Source organism: Homo sapiens, chromosome 2 (assembly GCF_000001405.40).
Source record: "Homo sapiens chromosome 2, GRCh38.p14 Primary Assembly".
Lineage (NCBI taxonomy): Eukaryota > Metazoa > Chordata > Mammalia > Primates > Hominidae > Homo > Homo sapiens.
In genome coordinates, this window is record NC_000002.12 from 51,253,735 (window position 1) to 51,272,975 (window position 19,241).

The 19,241-nt window shown below is 34.6% G+C and overlaps 1 long non-coding RNA gene across 1 annotated transcript in view, besides 1 other annotated feature; it reads left to right on the plus strand.

The window, feature by feature from the left end:
* The window catches only part of NRXN1-DT (NRXN1 divergent transcript), a 1,375,317-nt gene that overhangs the window by 221,134 nt on the left and 1,134,942 nt on the right, over positions 1-19,241 (plus strand). The window lies entirely within an intron of this gene.
* Positions 2,730-3,929: an enhancer, noted in NCBI's record as "MED14-independent group 3 enhancer chr2:51483602-51484801 (GRCh37/hg19 assembly coordinates)". NCBI's record gives its function as "activates an origin of replication core promoter dependent on BRD2, BRD4, P300/CBP and CDK7 cofactors, and independent of MED14, by STARR-seq in HCT116 cells {active_cell/tissue: HCT116}" and the evidence as "EXISTENCE:reporter gene assay evidence [ECO:0000049][PMID:35650434]".

Here is a 19,241-nt window from a genome sequence, read left to right on the forward strand (position 1 = left end):
AAGAAAATCCCTCATATCAATAATATCCTTGAATTAAATTTTCCGTTTAAAAGATATCTCATGGTTGAATAAAGATAATATAATCCAAGTATATGCTGCCTGCAGGAAACAAACATACCTTATCTTTAAAGAAACATATAGACTAAAAGTAAAGGGATGAAAAAATATATTTCATGCAGATGGAAACTAAAAATGACCAGGAGGAATTATACATGTATATATCACATAAGAAATAATTTAAGTCAAAAAACAGTGAAAAAAAGACAAAGACGATTATTATATAGCGATAAAGGATGAATCCAGCATGAGGATATAACAATTCTAAATATATATGCCCCAATATTGGAACATCCAAATTCACAAAACAAATATTACTAGATCAGAAGAGCGAGAGACTCTAATACAATAATAGCGCAGGACTATAACACTCCACTCAGTATTTGGATAGATCATCTAGACAGAAAATCAACAAAGAAATCCCATTGGATTTTTTGTTCTAAACTTTATACCAATGGACCTAAGAGACATCTACAGAACACTTTATCTACCAAACACAGAATACTCATTTTTGTCATCAGCACATAGAACATTCTTTAAGATAAAGTATATGTTAGTCTACAAAACAAGTCTCAATAAATTTTGTAAAAGGATAATCATATCGAGCATCTTCTTAGACCAAAATGGAATAAAACTGTAAATCCATACCAAAAGGAACATTGGAAACTCTACAAATACATAGAAATTAAACAACATGCTTCTGAATGACTGTTGGGTCAATATTAAAATTAAGATGAAAACCGAAATATTTCTTGAAACAAATTAAAATGGAAACAAAACATACTAAAATTTATGGGCTATAGCAAGTAGTGCTAAGACAAAAGGTTGTAGCAATAAACATCCATATCAAAAGGAGAAATATGTTAAATAAGCAATCTAACACTGTACCTCAAAAAACAAGAAAAGCAAAAACAAACCAAACCCCAAATTAGCAGAAGGAAAGAATAAAGATCAAATCATAATTAAATGAAATAAGAAGGTCTGAACAAACAATAAAAAGGGTCAATGAAATGAAAAATTGGTTCTTCCAAAAGATAAACAAAATTGATACATTGCTAGCTAGATTATTTAAGAAAAGACAGAAGAAAACCCAAATAAAATCAGAAATGAAAAAGGAGGCATTACATTTGCTATGACAAGAATTAAAAAGGTCATCAGAATCTATTACAAACAACTAAGAAAACAAACTGGAAAATATAGAGGAAATAGATACATTTCTAGGAACATACAACCTACCAAGATTGAATTAGGAAGAAACAGTAAACATAAACAGACAGGTACTAAGGAATGAGATCAAATCATTAATAAAATGTCTCCCCAAAGTGAAAAGCTGAGGGTTGGATGGATTCACTGTCAATTTCTACCAAACTTATAAAGAAGAACTAATACCAGTTCCCTCAAACTTTCAAAAAAATTGAAGAAGAGAGAATTCTCCATAACTCACTCTCTGAGGCCAGCACTACCTTGGTACCAAAAGTGGACAAGGACACATTAACAACAACAAAAATTTGCATGCCAATATCCTTAATGAACATAGATGCAAAAACTCTCAAAAAATAGTGGCTGAACAAATACAACAGCACATCAAAAATATAATACACCATGATCAATTATTGTTTATACCAAAAATGAAAGAAGGTTCAACATTTACAAATCATTGTGCTATATCACATCAACAGAATGGAGGGTAAAAATCATATGGCTATCTCAATAGATGCAGAAAAAAACATTTAATAAAACTCAACACTACTTTATGATAAAAACTCTCAACAAACTAGGCATACAAAGAAAATAACTCAAAATAATGAAGACCATGTAATGCAAACCCACAGTTAACATGCTACTGAATGGGGAAATGTTGGAAGTCTTTCCTCTAAGAACTGGAACGTAGCACTGAAAGTCCTACCCAGAGCAATCAGGAAAGAGAAAGAGATAAAAGGCATGCAAGGTGGAATGGAGTAGTCAAATTGTTGCTCTTTATAGATAAGATGATCTCATATTTAGAAAAATCAAAATACTCTGCTAAAAAGCTCTTAGAACAGATAAACAATTTCAGTAAAGTTGCAGGATGCTAAATTAACATACAAAAATCAGTAGTGTTTATATACGCCAATAATGAAATAGCTGAAAAAGCAATCAAGAAGGCAATCTCATTTATAATAGTTATAAAAAATACCTGGAAGTAAATTTTACAAAGGAGATGAAAGATTTGTACAAAGAAAACTACAAAACCGTAATAAAGGAAATTGAAGAGGATACAAACAAATGGAAAGATATCCCATGCCCACGGATTGAAAGAATTAATATCATTAACATGACCATACTACTGAAAGCAATCTATAGATTCAATACAATCCCTTTCAAAATATCAGTCATTTTTCACAAAAGTAGAAAAAAATCCTGAAATTCATATGGAATAAAAAAAGAGCCAGAAAAGCCAAAGCAATCCTGGGCAAAAAGAACAAAACTGAAAGTCATCACATTACCTGACTTGAAAATATATTATGGGTTACAGTAACCAAAACAGCATGCCACTAGTATAAAAATAGACATGTAGACCAGTGGAACAGAATAGAAAACCCATAAAAGGATTCATATATTTACAGCTGACTGATCTTCATAAAAGCTGTCAAGGACATACATTGGAGAAAGGACGCCCTCTTCAATAAATGGGGCTGGGAAAACTGGTTAACCATATGCAGAAGAATGAAACTAGACCGCTATCTCTCACCATATACAAAATCAACTCAAGATGGATTAAATACTTAAACATAGACCTGAAACAATTAAACAACTAGAAGAAAACACAGGGAAAACTCTTCAGGACATTGGTCAAGGCAAAGATTTTATGGCTAAGACCTCAAAGGCACAGGCAACAAAGCAAAAAATAGACAAATGGAATTATATTAAACTAAACAGCATCTGTGCAGAGAAAGAAACAATCAACAGAGTGAAGAAACAGCCTCTTGAATGGGAGAAAATATTTGTAAACTACTCATCCAACGGGATTAATATCCATGATTTCAAGGAACTCAGTAGTAAAACAAAAACAAACAATAACAACAACGAAAAACAAACAAAAACCCATTAAAAGTGGGCAAAGGACATGAATGGACATGTCTCAAAAGGAGACATACAAATGACTAACAGGTATATGAAGAAATGCTGAACATCACCAATCATCAGGGAAACACAAATCAAAACCACAATGAGTTATCAGTTTGAATGGCTATTTAAAAAGACAGAAAATAACAGATGTTGGTGAGGCTACGGAGGAAAGCGAACTCTGATACCCTGTTTTTGAGAATGCAAATTAGTACAGCCGTTATGTAAAACATTATGAAAATTCTGGTAAAACTAAAAATAGAGCTACTATATGATCCAGCAATACTTTTCCTTTGGTATTTATCCAGAGGAAAATAAATTAATATATCAAAGGGATACATGCACTCCCATGATTATTTCAATGCTATTCACAATAGCAAAAATATGGAATCAACCTAACTATATATCAATGGATAAATGGATAAAGAAAATGTGATACATATACACAGTGGAATACTATTTAGATATAAAAATGGATGAAATTATGTCATTTGTAGTAACATGGATGGAACTAGGTACCATTATGTTAACTGAAATAAGCCAGACACAGAAAGACAAATATTGCATGTTGTTACTCATATGCGGGAGCTAAAAAAGCAGATCACATGGAGGCAGAGAGCGGAACGAAAGGTAACAGAGACTGGGAAGTATGTAAGTGTGTGTGTGGTGGGGTGGTTAGATAAAGAGAGAGCTGTTAATGGGTACCAACATACGGTTAGATAGAAGGAATAAGTTCTAATGCTTGATAGCAGAGTAGGATGACTATAGTTAAAAATAATGTATTCATTTTTCAAAATAGATAGAAGACCTGAAATGTACCCAACCCCTAGAAATGATAAATACTTGGGTGATGGATTAATATCCCAATTACCCTGAATTGATCATTATACATAGTGCACAAGTAACAAAATTTCTCATGTACCCTATGAATAAGTACAAATGTGAGGTATCAAACTTTTTTTAAAAATTAAAAAATTAAAAATAAATACTCTTGGGGTTTAATATATAAGCAACTTTTTTCTCCACTTTCCTTTAGTTTTCTAGAAGTATCAAAGGAAAATTTTAAGCTATGAATAATTAATTTTCTGGGTGTTTCCACCTTGAATGAAGAGATGAGGAGGTAGAACTTACATGAGAAACTCTAAGATTTCTCCTGGGTGTGGGGTTTTCAGATGCTCCCTTGACTAATAAACACACGCAAGTTTTTAGTTTTTTTTTTTTTTAACTTACTTTCAGGATTTTGTAGAATTGTGGAGACCTGTGTGTAAATGAGATAAACTATTATTGTATCTGAGAGAGTGCAATGTTGTAAATGTAATAGAAAAAAAAAGAAAAAGATGTATATATAGGCTGGAATCCATATTTTCTTGGGCATAAAAAGGAAATGAAATTAGAAAAAGAGCATGAAAATGAAAATGGTGTGTAGAGAGATTAGAGAAGAGCTAGGAAAGTGGACAAACATAAGACTAAGTCAAAGTTTTTGAGGAAGGAAGAATTGTCAGTAAGATTAAAGAAGAGAGGCTATGATAGAGAAGAGCTCAAAAAAGATCGTTGCCTTGATTAATCACAAAGTCTACCTAACTTGCTAGAGTGCAGCTCTTGCGTAATACGGTGTTTCCTTGATAAAGATAAGTATTATGTGAACTATAAGAAAGTTGGGTTTAGGAGCCTTTTTCACGGTAGCCTACTGATGTTAAGTAACAAATTCTAAATGTTTTGGCTTCCCCATAATAAGAAACTTTGCCACGGGCAAAGTGGTTAAAAATATTAAAACTGTGGAATAGAGTAAACTCCTTAGCTTGGTTATTATATTTCATTTCTAGGTAGTTGAAAAGGCAAGCAGAATAATGGCAAACTGGTTTTGATAGCAAGAAATCTACCAGAGGAGAAAAACAGGGAAGCAGTAAAGAGCAAGTGGTTAATGATGTAAACAATGAAAGGAACACCTCCAAATCTCTAGTGTAATGTGGGATCTCAAATATTTATTAAAATAAAAGTTACATGACCCTAGTAAGAGAAGAGTGACTCACATCAGAATAAAGGGTTGGAAAATGTATGGAGCTATTTTAAGGAAAAAGGGCAATTCATGATGTGCTTATTTCATATTGCATGCCTGTATCAAAACATCTAATCTACCTCACAAATATATACATCTACTATGTATCCACAAAACTAAAAAGATTTTTAATAAAAATAGTTTTTTACAAATTAAAAAAATTAAAAAAGAAGAGCAACTACTGAGTAAAGTTTATAAAATACTGGTAAGAAAGAAACAGGAAAGCAAAATGTTACTTATTATTCCTCATGGACTCATGCATTGCCACTTTTTATTTATTTCTGCTTTATTAGTTTTTTCATTGATTTTATAAGTCATTAAGCCACTACCATAAATAATTCTGCTTTATTTGTAATGTGATTAATTATGCTGATAAAAATTTTTTGAAGGCTGCTAAGAAAGCTGTGCATATATTCAGAGTCCCCCCTACCTACTAATATTAGGGAACATCTTATATTCTTACACAGATTAAACAAACAGATCTGATTTCTTACCTTTCTGTTACAATAATTGAATTATGAGAAGCAGAAATGACCTGACACATGAACTATTAGAACCACATTTCATACAGTGCCAGAGATAATTTTACTTGCCAAATTAATTCAGTTGGCTCCGTTATGAGTTCTACTACATGGATGATAAACAGGTGAAAGTGCTATAAACAAAAGATAATGATAAATGGCAGTGTATCAAGAGGGAGGTGTAGCGATGTCAAATGAAATGTCACTGAAGTCAGTGCTAACCAGACTGACTTCACAACTTCACAGTCTGGTACACGAAGAGAACAATACAATGAGTGGAATTAACAAGCATGCAAGAGTCTCTTTCCTGTGACACAAGGATGGCTAAGGAAGAATAACAGAGAGGAGGAGGACGGGTTCGTAACTGCGGAAAATCTTAGTTTTTATATTCTTCACTGAAAAGGAAAAATGAATCATTCCAAAAGGTAACAAGAAATTATACTGCAGCAAAAATTTTAATACAGGCTGAAAGTTTTGAGACATATGTAAATGAATGTGAACTACTTTACAGTGTTCTAGCACATAGTAAAGACGGAAAACACATTACATATTTATGTTATCATAGTCAAAAGGTTGTTGTCATGTTGGGAACAAAATGATTTCCTAAGAAAAGGAACATATGATTTTTTCCGCCAACTCGCAGCTGCATTTCCCTAAGTCTCATCAAACTACATGTAATTAAGGGATCAAAGTAGTGGATAAATTATAACATTTGAGCTATTTTGAAATAATACTTATTGGAGGGGGCAGGCTATTTATCTTTTTATACAAGCATTGTGATATGGTGAATGTGTATATATATATATATGAAATATATATTTATTTATTTTATATATTATATATATTTAGTTATACATTACATATATGTGTGAAATATATAAATTTAATATTTATACATTACATATATGTGTGAAATATATATACGTATATATATAAATATATATATATAGTCATTTAACAAATTTTTACTGTGATTTTAGTTGAGAATGGAACAGGACATAGACAGACATGGCCCCTGCCTGCATAGAGCTTCGTGTCTCAGAGGGCAGAGGGTCCTGAGTTTGAATTCTAGCCATGCTGCTATGTTACAGAGTAAATTCTGGCCAGATACTAAAACTTAAGGAGATACAGGTTTTTTGTTTGTTTATTTTTTGTTTTTTATATGTGAATTAGGGCTAAAAGTACTTACTCCTTATGGTTATTGTGAGGATTTAATGAAATAAAATGTATTATGCCTCATATTTATCATATAGTAGACATTCTCTGTTTTTTTTTTCAAATTCAGTACCAGTAAGTGATGTGACAGACACAGAATTCCATGAGCACAAGGAAAACTAAATAAAGTCTTCACTGTTCTGAACAACAACTGAGGGGATAAGACACATTGGTGTGATTTTTGTTGTTTATCATGGTATTGATATTTTGGATATTTGGACTTTTTAATGAAATTCTTAGATAAATAAACTTATAAGGTCAAGAAATTATTCTTAAGTAATACTGATTTTGACTATTGAAATCATCACATGCATGTAGGAGAAATGTCCATCCACTCTACTGTGAAATGAATGTTGAATTTTTCTTTAAATCATGGAGTTTAAGTATAGCGAGTTTTATACACAACTTCCTCTGTTCTTAGATTTTTATCAAAATAGGTCTCATTTGCAAAAGTGTGGGCAAGATCATGTATAAACTGTGTTCTCAGGAAGTAAGCGATATTAAGAATTTCATATGGGAGTAGAATCTGTGTTCTTGGCCTTGTATAATGTCACAATGTCAATGCTCAAGTTATATACATCACTCACTCATGTAGGTGCCTTCCAGGGAACAAAGAGCTAAACAAAGGGCTGTAGAAATGATTCAAGATCTAAGTCACATAGTTTTCATAATCTTTTATTTTACCTTCATTCCTATTTAAAGTATTATAATGCCAGTATTTTTAATTGGCTATACCCAAGGCGGAATTACAAAGTGCAATGTGAAAACCAGGAAATTTAGAGTTTACTAGGGAAGGTCACAAGCTTAAAATGAGAGAAAAAGGATACATCACCTATATTTATTTTCCATGTGCTCAGAAATTGTTCAGCTTGCCAACACACTGATGTATCATTTACTTATAATAATGCATTAATCACAATAATGAGCAATCAATTTTTGGATGTTAAATGAACACTCAAAATTAGAAACCCTGTCATTTAGAAGGCCAGTTAATGAGAGCAAGGTGAAAAAATCACTTGATTAGGCAGTTGACTTCTTTAATACAAATGTTTGTGTCTCTCTGAATTTAGAGTTTGCTGAACAATTGAGTTTTTATGCAAATTTTCTTCAAATTAGATAGAATAAACTACTTTTAAGAGAAAATTTTAAGTACAACAGCTTCATCGAGCACTTTATACATATTTGATACTCATGTTGGATGTAATTGAATTGCTATGGTTTGTGTGAACTAGAGAATAGGAAATTGCTAACTTCAATTGACTGGGTATGCTAAAAAAAGGCAGTACAAAATTCAGTATGTTGATTTATATAAAATATATATATACATATGTATATAGACATATACATATCTATAGATATGTTCCTATATAGAGATAGTTCTTATAGCTATAGATAGCACATTTACATATATACATGTATATATAGACATATACATATCTATAGATATGTTCCTATATAGAGATAGTTCTTATGGCTATAGATAGCACATTTACATACATACATATACACACACACATATATATATGTATATATATTTCTGTATCTGAAAATTATGTCTTCTTTGGGAGCAAATTTGCCACCCATTACGGATGAGAAGCCTTTGCTTTCATAGTTTCTCCAACATCAGAGGCTTTGCTTGCTTCCATATTGCAACTAACTTTCTTGTCATATAAGTAGTCAATGGTCCAGAGCAGGGATTGGCAAGCTGTAACCCAAAAGTCAAATCCAGCCTGTTAACAGTTTTTGCACAGCCTATGAACTAGGAATAGTTTTTATCATTTTAAATGGTTGAAATAAATAAAAAATAATATTTGTGACACATAAAAATTATATGAAATTCAAATTTTAGGGTCCATAAATAAGATTTTATTGTACCACAGACACATTTATTCATTTTCACTTGTCTATAGTTGCTTTTTTTGTTACACTGGCAGAGTTGAATAGTTAAAACAGAGACAGTCTGGTCAGCAAAGATGAAAATATTTACCATTTAATCCTTTAATGAAGAAGTTTTTTAACCCCTGGTCTAGAAGGCATAGTGTAGAAAATAAGTACCTTGGGAGTGGGGCTGAAGTGTAACATAGAAGTCAGCTTCTATTCTTTTTTCTGTAAATAGGTAAAATGGGATAAAACCATTTTTTTTCATCTCTGCTTATCTTAAAACTTTAAGGTACTATTCAATTTCATGTTTTATGATTAATCTCATTTTACTCTAAATGTGATAGGCACTTTTTTTTTTTATTGGTTAGTGTTCTAAATTTAATTCTATGGGACCCAGATTTCTTAATTCAACAGAAAAAATATGCTGAATTGTGTTTGGTTATTTTGAAGTCTGTTATGTAAGTGTCACGTGCGTCCATGTGAAGAGACCACCAAACAGGCTTTGTGTGAGCAGTAAAGCTTTTTAATCACCTGGGTGCAGGCGGGATGAGTCCAAAAAGAGAGTCAGTGAAGGGAGATGGGGTGGGGCTGTTTTATAGGATTTGGGTAGGTAGTGGAAAATTACAGTCAAAGGGGGTTGTTCTTTTGCAAGCAGGGGCGAGGGTCATAAGGTGCTCAGTGGGGGAGCTTCTGAGCCAGGAGAAGGAATTTCACAAGGTAATGTCATCAGTTAAGGCAGGAACCAGCCATTTTCACTTCTTTCCTGATTCTTCAGTTACTTCAGGACATCTGGATGTATAAGTGCAGGCTTGGGCTCAGAGGCCTGACAGTAAGTTCTTCTATGTAAGAACAAATTAAGGCCCCATTGTAGCACATTATACTACTTTACTAGATAGGACACACTTCTGAGGTCTTTCATGTCAAAGTATCTAACATGAGACCCTGTGTGCCTTGTCACCCAGCATGCTCAATGTATAAAATAAAATTGTGCTGTGTTCAACGTAGTTTATTGTAATGATAAGGACACTAATATTAAGAAATGTCGTGATTTATTGGGCACTATTTTGTCCCAGGACTGTTCTAAATGCTTTATATGTATTAATACATTTAATCCTCACAATAATCCTGTGATTTCTAATTTTATTGCCATTTCACTGATGAGAAAACAGAAGCAGATAGGACTCCATAAGATGTTGTAACTCTGTTCAAACTGCTCTATTTCCGAACTTCATGAAATTCAAGATCTCTGAAGTCAAGCTTGAAATCATTTTGGAGGAGTAACATGAACACAGCACTATTTGGGGCTGGTTAACCTCCTTTCCTTCCTTTACTTTAATGTTACACTGAAGTGCTGCAATTAAATCAGAATGTCTTTGTGATCATACGTTCTCCATTCAAAACGTATTTGTATTGTTACTCTATGGGTGAAACCCTCCAAACTGCATAGCAACCAAATGCCTTAGTTCCTCATAACATTGAAAAGAGAGGTGCTATCAGATACTCTTCTGTACACAGTTTTGAATGACTTACTAATGAACTCTTGTTAGTGATTCAATAGTATCATACTACTCATGTGAATAATTTGACACACTTTCTATATCTGAACAAAGTGGGACAATCTTGTGGAATGTAGTTCATTTGCATAACATTCCCTCCAGATAAGATCTACATAGTTACGCAAACACTACATATATTTAGGAGTCAGATGCATTATGCATGCCTATTTAGAAGAGTCAAATATTTGAATATTAATCATCTTTTTTTTTCTCCTACCTGTAGTATTCTTTTTATGTTCCCTCCCTTCCCTCAATACCACACAGGTGACCAAACATTTGGATTTTCCTCTCTCAGGAAAATCGTGACACAGGGGTCAAAACCAGAAGATACTCAGGGACATCTGTCTTTCTGTAAGCTATGAAGGAAAGGTGAGCCCTTCAATTTTAGAGAGTGTGTTGGAAACTCCCTGGGGCTGAGAAAGAGACCAAGGCCCTGGGAGCTTTCCTAGTGGAGATTCCCATTTTCCTTTAGCAGCTCCAGGAAGGGAGCCGGAATTCAGAAAAAAAATGGCTTAACTCTACATGGCCCCAGCTTTTCAACCTCAGCAAAAGTGTTTGTTCATCAAGCATGGACTAGAAGCAGCCCAACTGTTGGATATCTGGACCCATCTTGGCTCAGACAATGAGATTATTAGTGGTGCCTATTATGACTGAAAATTAGAGACACTTATTCCTTTTGTGAAGCATTATCAGGGTTCGCTTCATTCTCGAGCAGCCTTAAGGAAGGATTCAGTTCTCCAGTGAGTTCATGTGAATAAATTTTTCTCCATCTTAGCAGGAAAGTGGCTTTTATTTGGATTTCATTTAATTAAAAATAAATAAAGGCCAGGTGTGGTGGCTCATGCCTGTAATCCCAGCACTTTGGGAGGCTGAGGTGAGTGGATCACCAGAAGTCAAGAAGTTAGAGAGCAGCCTGGTCAATATGGTGAAACCTGTCTCTACTAAAAATAAAAAATTAGCTGGGTGTGGTGGTGCATGCCTGTAATCCCAGCTACTTGGGAGGCTGAGGCAGGAGAATCGCTTGAACCCGGGTGGTAGGGGTTGCAGTGAGCTGAGATTGCGCCATTGCACTCCAGGCTGGTCAACAAAAGCACAACTCCATATCAAAAAATAAATAAAAATAAAAATAAATAAATAAGTGTAACATCTCTGTGCAGTTGAGATTGTGAGCTAAAATTATGGCCACTGCGTGTGTACATATGTACAAAACAAATACTTTTTTCCAAATATCCCTAACCATGTACCATTATGTCATTCTCCTCTGAGTCATATTGATGGAAAAAACAAACTGTAAAATATTTAAAGAGGTTTATTCTGAGCCAATATGAATGACCATGGCCCAGGGAACTGTCTCTGGAGATCCTGAGAAAGTGTGCCTGAGGTGGTTGGGTTACAGTTTGCTTTTATATGTATTAGGAGACATGAATTGTAGGTAAAACCATAAATCAATACATGGAAGGTATACACTGATTCAGTCTAAAGAGGCAGGATGTCTTAAAGTGGGGGCTGGGCTGGGGGGGTGGCACTTACAGGCCATAGATGGATTCAAAGATTTTCTGATTGGTAATTGGTTGAAATAACTAAGCTTTGTCCAAAAAACTTCCAGTCAGCAGAAAGTTGAGTTAAGTTAAGGGGGGTTGTAGAGGCCAAGGCGCTTGTTACACAGATGCAGCCTCCAGGTAGCAGGCTTCAGAGAGAATAGATGGTAAATATCCCATTTCAGACCTAAAGGTATCAAGCTCTCATTTAATCTCCCCTGGATCTGGGAAAGACGTAAAAAGGGAAGACCTGTCTGAATTAATGGAGATTCTCTACACTTGCAAATTTCCTCCGCAAGAGGTGGCTTTGCACATCCATTTCAAAATAAGTCAAAGAAATATGTTTTGGAGTAAAATATTTTTATTTCTTTCAGGGTCTGTTATCTGTCATATGATGCTATCCCAGAATCAGGTTTGAGTTTGGTAACTTATTGCCAAAATGAGTCTGTTTTGGCAGTCTTGTGATCTCTGCTTATATTAATAGTTAATGCTGGTGAGTTGTGCCTTAACTCCAAAAGGGAGGGGGCATAACACGATGTGTTTGACCTTCCTTCCCGTCATGGCCACCAAGAATGCAATTTTTCAGGATTCTCTGGGGTCTCTTTTGCCAAGATGGGATCCATTCAGTGTGTTGGCAGGCTTAGGATTTTATTTTTGGTTTATAGTCACATAAAAATATACCTAAGTGTCAATAAAAAGGATTATTCAATTAACAAACACATAAACTCTTACTTTAATTTCTCAGCATGTTACATGAAAAATAGCACATTGGCTCTCTATATAAAGAGCAACAGCATGCTCATCAATTGCTATCTTTCATATGTATTCTGTTAGTTTTGGACACGTTCTCTGAGACTCTTCTTCTGGCCCATTGTTTTTGGTTTTGTTTTGTTTTTTTCTCAATGTGGGTGAAGACTCTTGGGTACATAATCTATCTTCACAAAGAATCATAGTGTATCCCCTGGCAGTCATTTAATTTCCCGCCACCAAAGAGCAGCAGTCAGGAAATACCCAACAGAAATACCCAATAAGATCTGTCAGAGTGGATTTGACATTTCTACTTAATTATTCTTGGTAAAGGATTTGAGATTTTCTAATAGAAACTTCTATGTCAGGACAATAGATTGTAATTTAATTTGAAACTATTATCTTGCCTTGTTCTGCTTTCAGAAGGACTTGTAGAAAACAGGCTTTAATAGGTAAATAACAGCAGTTGCAAATAAAAGTGGAATATTACAGATTCCATTTAGCAAAGGCCAAATGGCCAATTCTATGAGAAGAAAAGAAATTTAACTCACCATAAGCCTATTTATTGCAGAGACAGAAAATGTTACCCTCTTGTCCACTGTTTATGACATTTCTTTAATAACATACTATATTAAGGACTAAACTTAAATATAGAAGTTTAGTTTCCCATCTCCATATATTATTGAGATTTTGTTTAGTCTATAAATTAATTTCACTTGGGGCATCTGAATGCTGTGCAAAAACAGATACGCAAAGATTAGAAATTGCTGTCATTTTTTTCTTTTCTAGGAATCCACTGATAATACAATAAAAAATTCCAACTTTTACTTAAGCAGTCACTATCTATGGTAGTATCTGGAAAGAGTGTTGATTGGCCATTCTAAAAAAGCCTAATCTCATTTGAGAGAAGATATATTTTAGTCACAGTTCAGATAGAACATGGTATTTGGAGACCATTAGTAAGTCCTTGGTTCTGCCTGTAGGCAGAAAGTCAGAATAAGATAGACTGAGCTGTATATAATATGCCATTCTTACCAAAATAATTTTTTTAAGTGACTGATCATTGATTTCTCGTGAACCACAGAGGAAGACCTTTGAAAATATGGAGAATAGATAAGAGCCAACAAGGTGTGATGTGAGGGTTAAGTGAAAGGCCATATTCTCTAAAATATGCCCAAACTACAGTACCACACTGCCAGAAATACTTCCAGAAATAACAGCTTCCTTAGCTTTCTGGTGCTTGTTCTTTTTTATTTATTTTATAAATTAAAATATTCAGTGGCATATTAGAAATAATTATTTAATCTAACTTATAAGATCTTAAAGCTGGGTGTTGTGGTTGTGCTGGAAGCTGAATAGGTAGGTAAAAAGGATGTCGAGGTCTGCTCTCAGCGAAAAAGCTTTGGAAGGGGAGGTAACTCAGTGAAAAGCTCTGGAAGGGGAGGTAACTGGGTGAAGGGAAGGGAAAAAGTAAATGTCATCTGCTCAACAGTTCTCTTTAGGAGTTATGCTAGCTATAGGATTATAGTATTATCTCCTTTGAAGTATTTCTTTCCTTGTTAAATTCTTTGAAATATAGAACTCCGTATATATTAAAAGCCTGGTAGTCTTGTGGCCAGTATTTTTCCCCACCGTGGAGCCTAATATGTATTTATGTTGTATTTAGTATTCCTCTTTCTTTATCAAACAAATAACAATCAATTTCTTAACAAGATACAGTTTTATGACATGAAGGTTTCGGTTCATTCTTAGAGATTGGACTAGTTAGGGTTCTCTAAAGAAACAGAGCCAGCAGAGCAGGAGGTTTAATTCAGTCTAAGTCAAAGAGCTATGACCAAGAGCTCTGATGTCTGAGGGCAGGGCAGAAGATGGATGTCTCAGCTCAAGAGGAGAGAGTGAATTTGCCTTTCCTTTTCCTTTTGGTTCTACTGGATCTGTCAATGGATTGGATGATGCCCACCCACATTGGTGAAGGCGAGCTTTACTTAGCCTCCCAGTTCAAATGCTAATGTCTTCTAGAAACACCCTCACAGACACACCCAGAAATAATGTTTTCCCAGCAGTATGGGCATGCCTGACCCCAGTCAAGTAAACATACACAATTAACTATTACAAAGGCTTAAGATAGTATACTGTTATAACATTCTAGGACAGACTGCCTTGTATAAAAATGTAGCTCTTTTTTTCTAGCTGTGTGAATTTGGCAACCTAATTTCTTCTCTTGTTATCCAAAACAAACAAACAAACAAAAAAATACAATACAATACAATAAAATGAGGATAATAATACCAAATATATAGCCCAGTTTTTGGTAAGGTTAGATTGTGTGTGTGTGTGTGTGTGTGTGATTGAGAGAGAGAGAAAGAGGACCTCATCTGGCACACACTAAGGGCTAAATAATTATAGTTATTGTTTATTATTGTTCATTCAAGAAATATTCAATAAGTACATATTTTCTGCCAAGTACTGTCTTTGGCACTAAGGATAAAGCAGCAGAAACCAAACCAAACTAGAGACTATAGTCACATAAAGCTTACACCATGAATTATAAGACTTAGCTATTATAATTGCCTGTTATGAAAAACATTACATCTAACACGGAAAAAAAAAGCCTTCTCCCACAATCACACAAAAGAAATCCTCTACCAAGACTACAAATTGTAGAGGAGGCCACAAAACTGCACTGTGCTTTAGAAGATTTGCTTTATTCACTTACAGGTGTGACCAATAGCTAAGACAATGCAGCTAAAATAATAAAAAAATGAGTGTGCCATAGACAAAGCTAAATAAAAGTTGTTGCTTATTTCTTTTTAGGCAATTTTTTTAGTAGTTCTCCCAGGCCATTGACATCTCTTACTTTTTCATCATGACAACAAATATCCTTAAATCCTGACGCAATACCTGTCATCGTTTGACACTGCATTCTGGAGTCAATCTAAGACTGTGAGAGTTTATATAGTCTAGTAACCCAGGAAGAAGTATTTGATAATTATCTAATCCAGTGGCCAATTAAGATCAAATAAGTTCAATGAAATCTTACTAATATTTTATAGAAATAAATAATATTTTGAAAAATATTATGATAAAGTCTTCATTGCTTGGAAATCATTCAAAAATTCATAATTTTGTGACTTTTTCATTTGTCCTCAATAGAATGAGAGAATAACTTTAGATAACCCATTTATTCACCCAACTAGTCCTCTCCAGGTAACATTGATCTGACTTCTTTAACCTTCCTTAATAGATTAGGAGGAGAAGGCGTCATTTCTTAAAAAATCATTGGATTAGATGGTTTATCTTACTTGGCAAAACAAAGGAGTTACCGAATTTTATAGTTGAAAGCAACAATATGGATCGTCAAAGACAGTAGCTTTCAAGCTTTACTTTCTTAAGCTTTGTAATTCTTTCTTCAAATAAAAATTTATGCAGAAGTCCAAAATGTAAAACAGATAAAAGGAAAGATACTCTGATTGAAATGAGGTACAGGCTCTGGAGCTCAACTCCAGAGTTGCAGTGTAATTCATTGCAAGCCAAGAGGTTCTAGTTTGAACTTCTCTAACCAAATTCAAGTCTTTCATTTCTCATTTGAAGAAATTTAGGGTTGGCGAGGTCAAAATAAATACCATAGGTGAAAATAAATATCTTTGTTTAAGGTCAGAGAGCTGGCACAAACAGGGCCAGGAGTAGAACCAAAATCTCCTGATAGCTACTCCAGATTTTTTCCCCTTTACATTAAGATATAATATTTGGCACTAAGATTAAATTGAAGGTTAAACCAAGTAATGCACTACTGTTCCGCTGCCAAGGTAACATAATAAGTAGCACTGTGGGCTGGGAGCTATTTCTACAACCTCTTTGGAAAATAGAATTTGCCACCATCCTTCCTCTGACCACAAGATTTCACATTCCTCAACCATGAAAAATACATTTATCCCCTCCTACACGTATCCAAGTTTCATCGCATTGCTGTATCAGCTCAAAGTCCATGCTTCCATTATCAAATGCAGGTCCAGGTTCGGAGGATCCTCAGATACATTTCCTCAAAGACAGTTCTTTGTGTACCATTCCTCTTCATCTGAACACTAATGAATTAGGTACACATTATCTTAAACACCACACCCAGCAAATGAGGGTGGGGTAGGCATGGGATAAATTCTATAGATACTCATGTTTAGAAACTGGAAGAATTGGGAGGCCCGTAACAGCTACTGATCCATAGCAATTCAGAAATACAGTCAGGAAACACGCTGCTAGTTCATTGATTTGGGCTCAGTCCTACTGTCTGAAAATGATTCTGCATTGCTCTTGGTTTCATCTTTTGGCTTCTTGTTTTTGCCCTGTTAGCCATCCTTTCTTTTCTATAAGAAACAGCTGATGCTTGAAGCTAAGGAGTTTTCTCAAATGGCTTCTGTCTTATAGTAGCTCAAGAATCTAAAGACCTTTTTTCATTTTAAACTACCTGTAATTTTAGGTCATGATGACAATGTTTTCTTGACCTCTCCTAAAAATGTTTGGGATCTCTATAAGTCTTATTGGAGTTCAGTCCACAAAGCTACATCCCCATCTCTCTTTGATATAAGCCCTTGTCTACTTGGGACATTTTTTGAAACTGCTATGGAACAATACTGTTAGTCTTAGAAGCCTGATTTAAGATGTAGGTTTTGAGATTCTTAAGTCTTTTTTCTATTTGAAGAAGTATACTGCCTTAGGTGATATTGAGGTCTTAACAAAGAACTTTGCAATCTTACCTTTGGCTTCATCTTTGAACAATATTTTTCTTCTTCCAGCTCCCTAGATTTAATATCCACCTAGAGGTTTCTTATTAATCTTAGCATATCTTGCAACCTGAGCAATAAAAAATGAGGATCGGTTTTATTTTCAAACTCATCAAGTCCTTGTTTCCTTGTATGTAACAATTCTTTCCTTAACTTATGTATTTTGTTTCTTTAGTTGGCAGCTAGAAGAAGCTAGAGATGTAATACAATATTTTACCTGAATATCTTCTTAACTAAGTCACAGAATTCATTAGGTTTTTTTTTCTTTTTTTATTGTCACAGGTAATAGCATTGCTCAACTTTCTACCACTACATAACAAGAGATTTTTATCCTCCATCATTCAGTTTTATTTTCTTCATTTTCCTTTGAGTCTTCACAGACATTCTTCTCAGGGATCTTCAGGCTTTTGCTCACATTCTCAAGGATTTCTAGCTTCTGTTGACCATCCTTTCTCAAAGGCAATGCCACATAATTTAGTGTTTATTATAGCAGCATCCACTGGTCTGATTGCAATGACTGGATAACAAACCATCCCCAAGTTAGTGAGAAATAACAACAATCGTTTATTATTATTATTAAATTTCTTATGGTTTGAGGAATTTACTGGGCTTAGGCAGTTCTCTTTAGGCATCTCTTGTGGTTGTTTTCAGATAATGGCTGCGGCTGGGGTCATCTCTAAGGCTTTCTTATATTTCTGGCAGTTGATGATGGCTGTTAGCTAGAATCTCAACAGCATCTCTTTCTGACTGGATCCCAGTGGTAAGTTCCACAGAGAGAAGCAAGTACAGGCTCTTGCCTTTGATGAACTAGCCTCAGACATCACATAGCATTAATTTCAATGTACTCTATCAGTCAAGGCAGTAAGGAGAACCCACCTAGATGCAAGGAGAAAAGACTAAGCACCTCCGTTAGACAGAGAAGTACATGGTAAGAAGTGTAAGAGTGATGGGAATCAATGCCTTTGGAAATTAGTATTCCACAAACGCTTACTCCAAAATGTCAGCTGTAATGCATTGAATAGCAGAAAGAAAACATAATGAAAACAATATAATAGTGATATTAAACTATTTCAACTCCAATGGATGAAAACTGCTTAGTGTGTTTTTATTAATAATAGCTACTAAATACAATCACATTGGAGATATTTGAAAAATTGTCTATCTCCATGTTCTAATGTTTGAAAATAGATCCAACAAAATGTATGATAGTTAATTCTGGTAGAAAGTAAATATTTCATAATACATGAGAAAATTCATATTCAGTAGAACAAATAAATATTTCAGACTGTCTTGAAGAGAGAAAATGGCCTGAATATGAAAAGAATAACTTCCCTATTAAATTCTAAGATAAAGTTGTGTGATAAAAAAACATAATTTCTGAAAAACTGAATTTGATGATATTTAACCCTGTTTGCTTAAGTGCTTTTTTTTTTTTTTTTGAGTCTGTCTCCCTCTGTCACCCAGGCTGGAGTGCAGTGGCGCAATCTCGGCTCACTGCAAGCTCCACCTCCTGGGTTCTCGCCATTCTCCTGCCTCAGCCTCCGGAGTAGCTGGGACTATAGGTACCTGCCACCAGGCTCGGCTAATTTTTTGTATTTTTAGTAGAGACGGGGTTTGACCGTGTTAGCCAGGATGGTCTCCATCTCCTGACCTCGTGATCCACCCGTCTCGGCCTCCTAAAGTGCTCAGATTACAGGCGTGAGCGACCGTGCCCGGCCGTTTCTCTTTTTTAAAAGAGATTTTATTGTAAGATAAAGTGTATAAAAACAAAATAAAACGTAATTACCTTA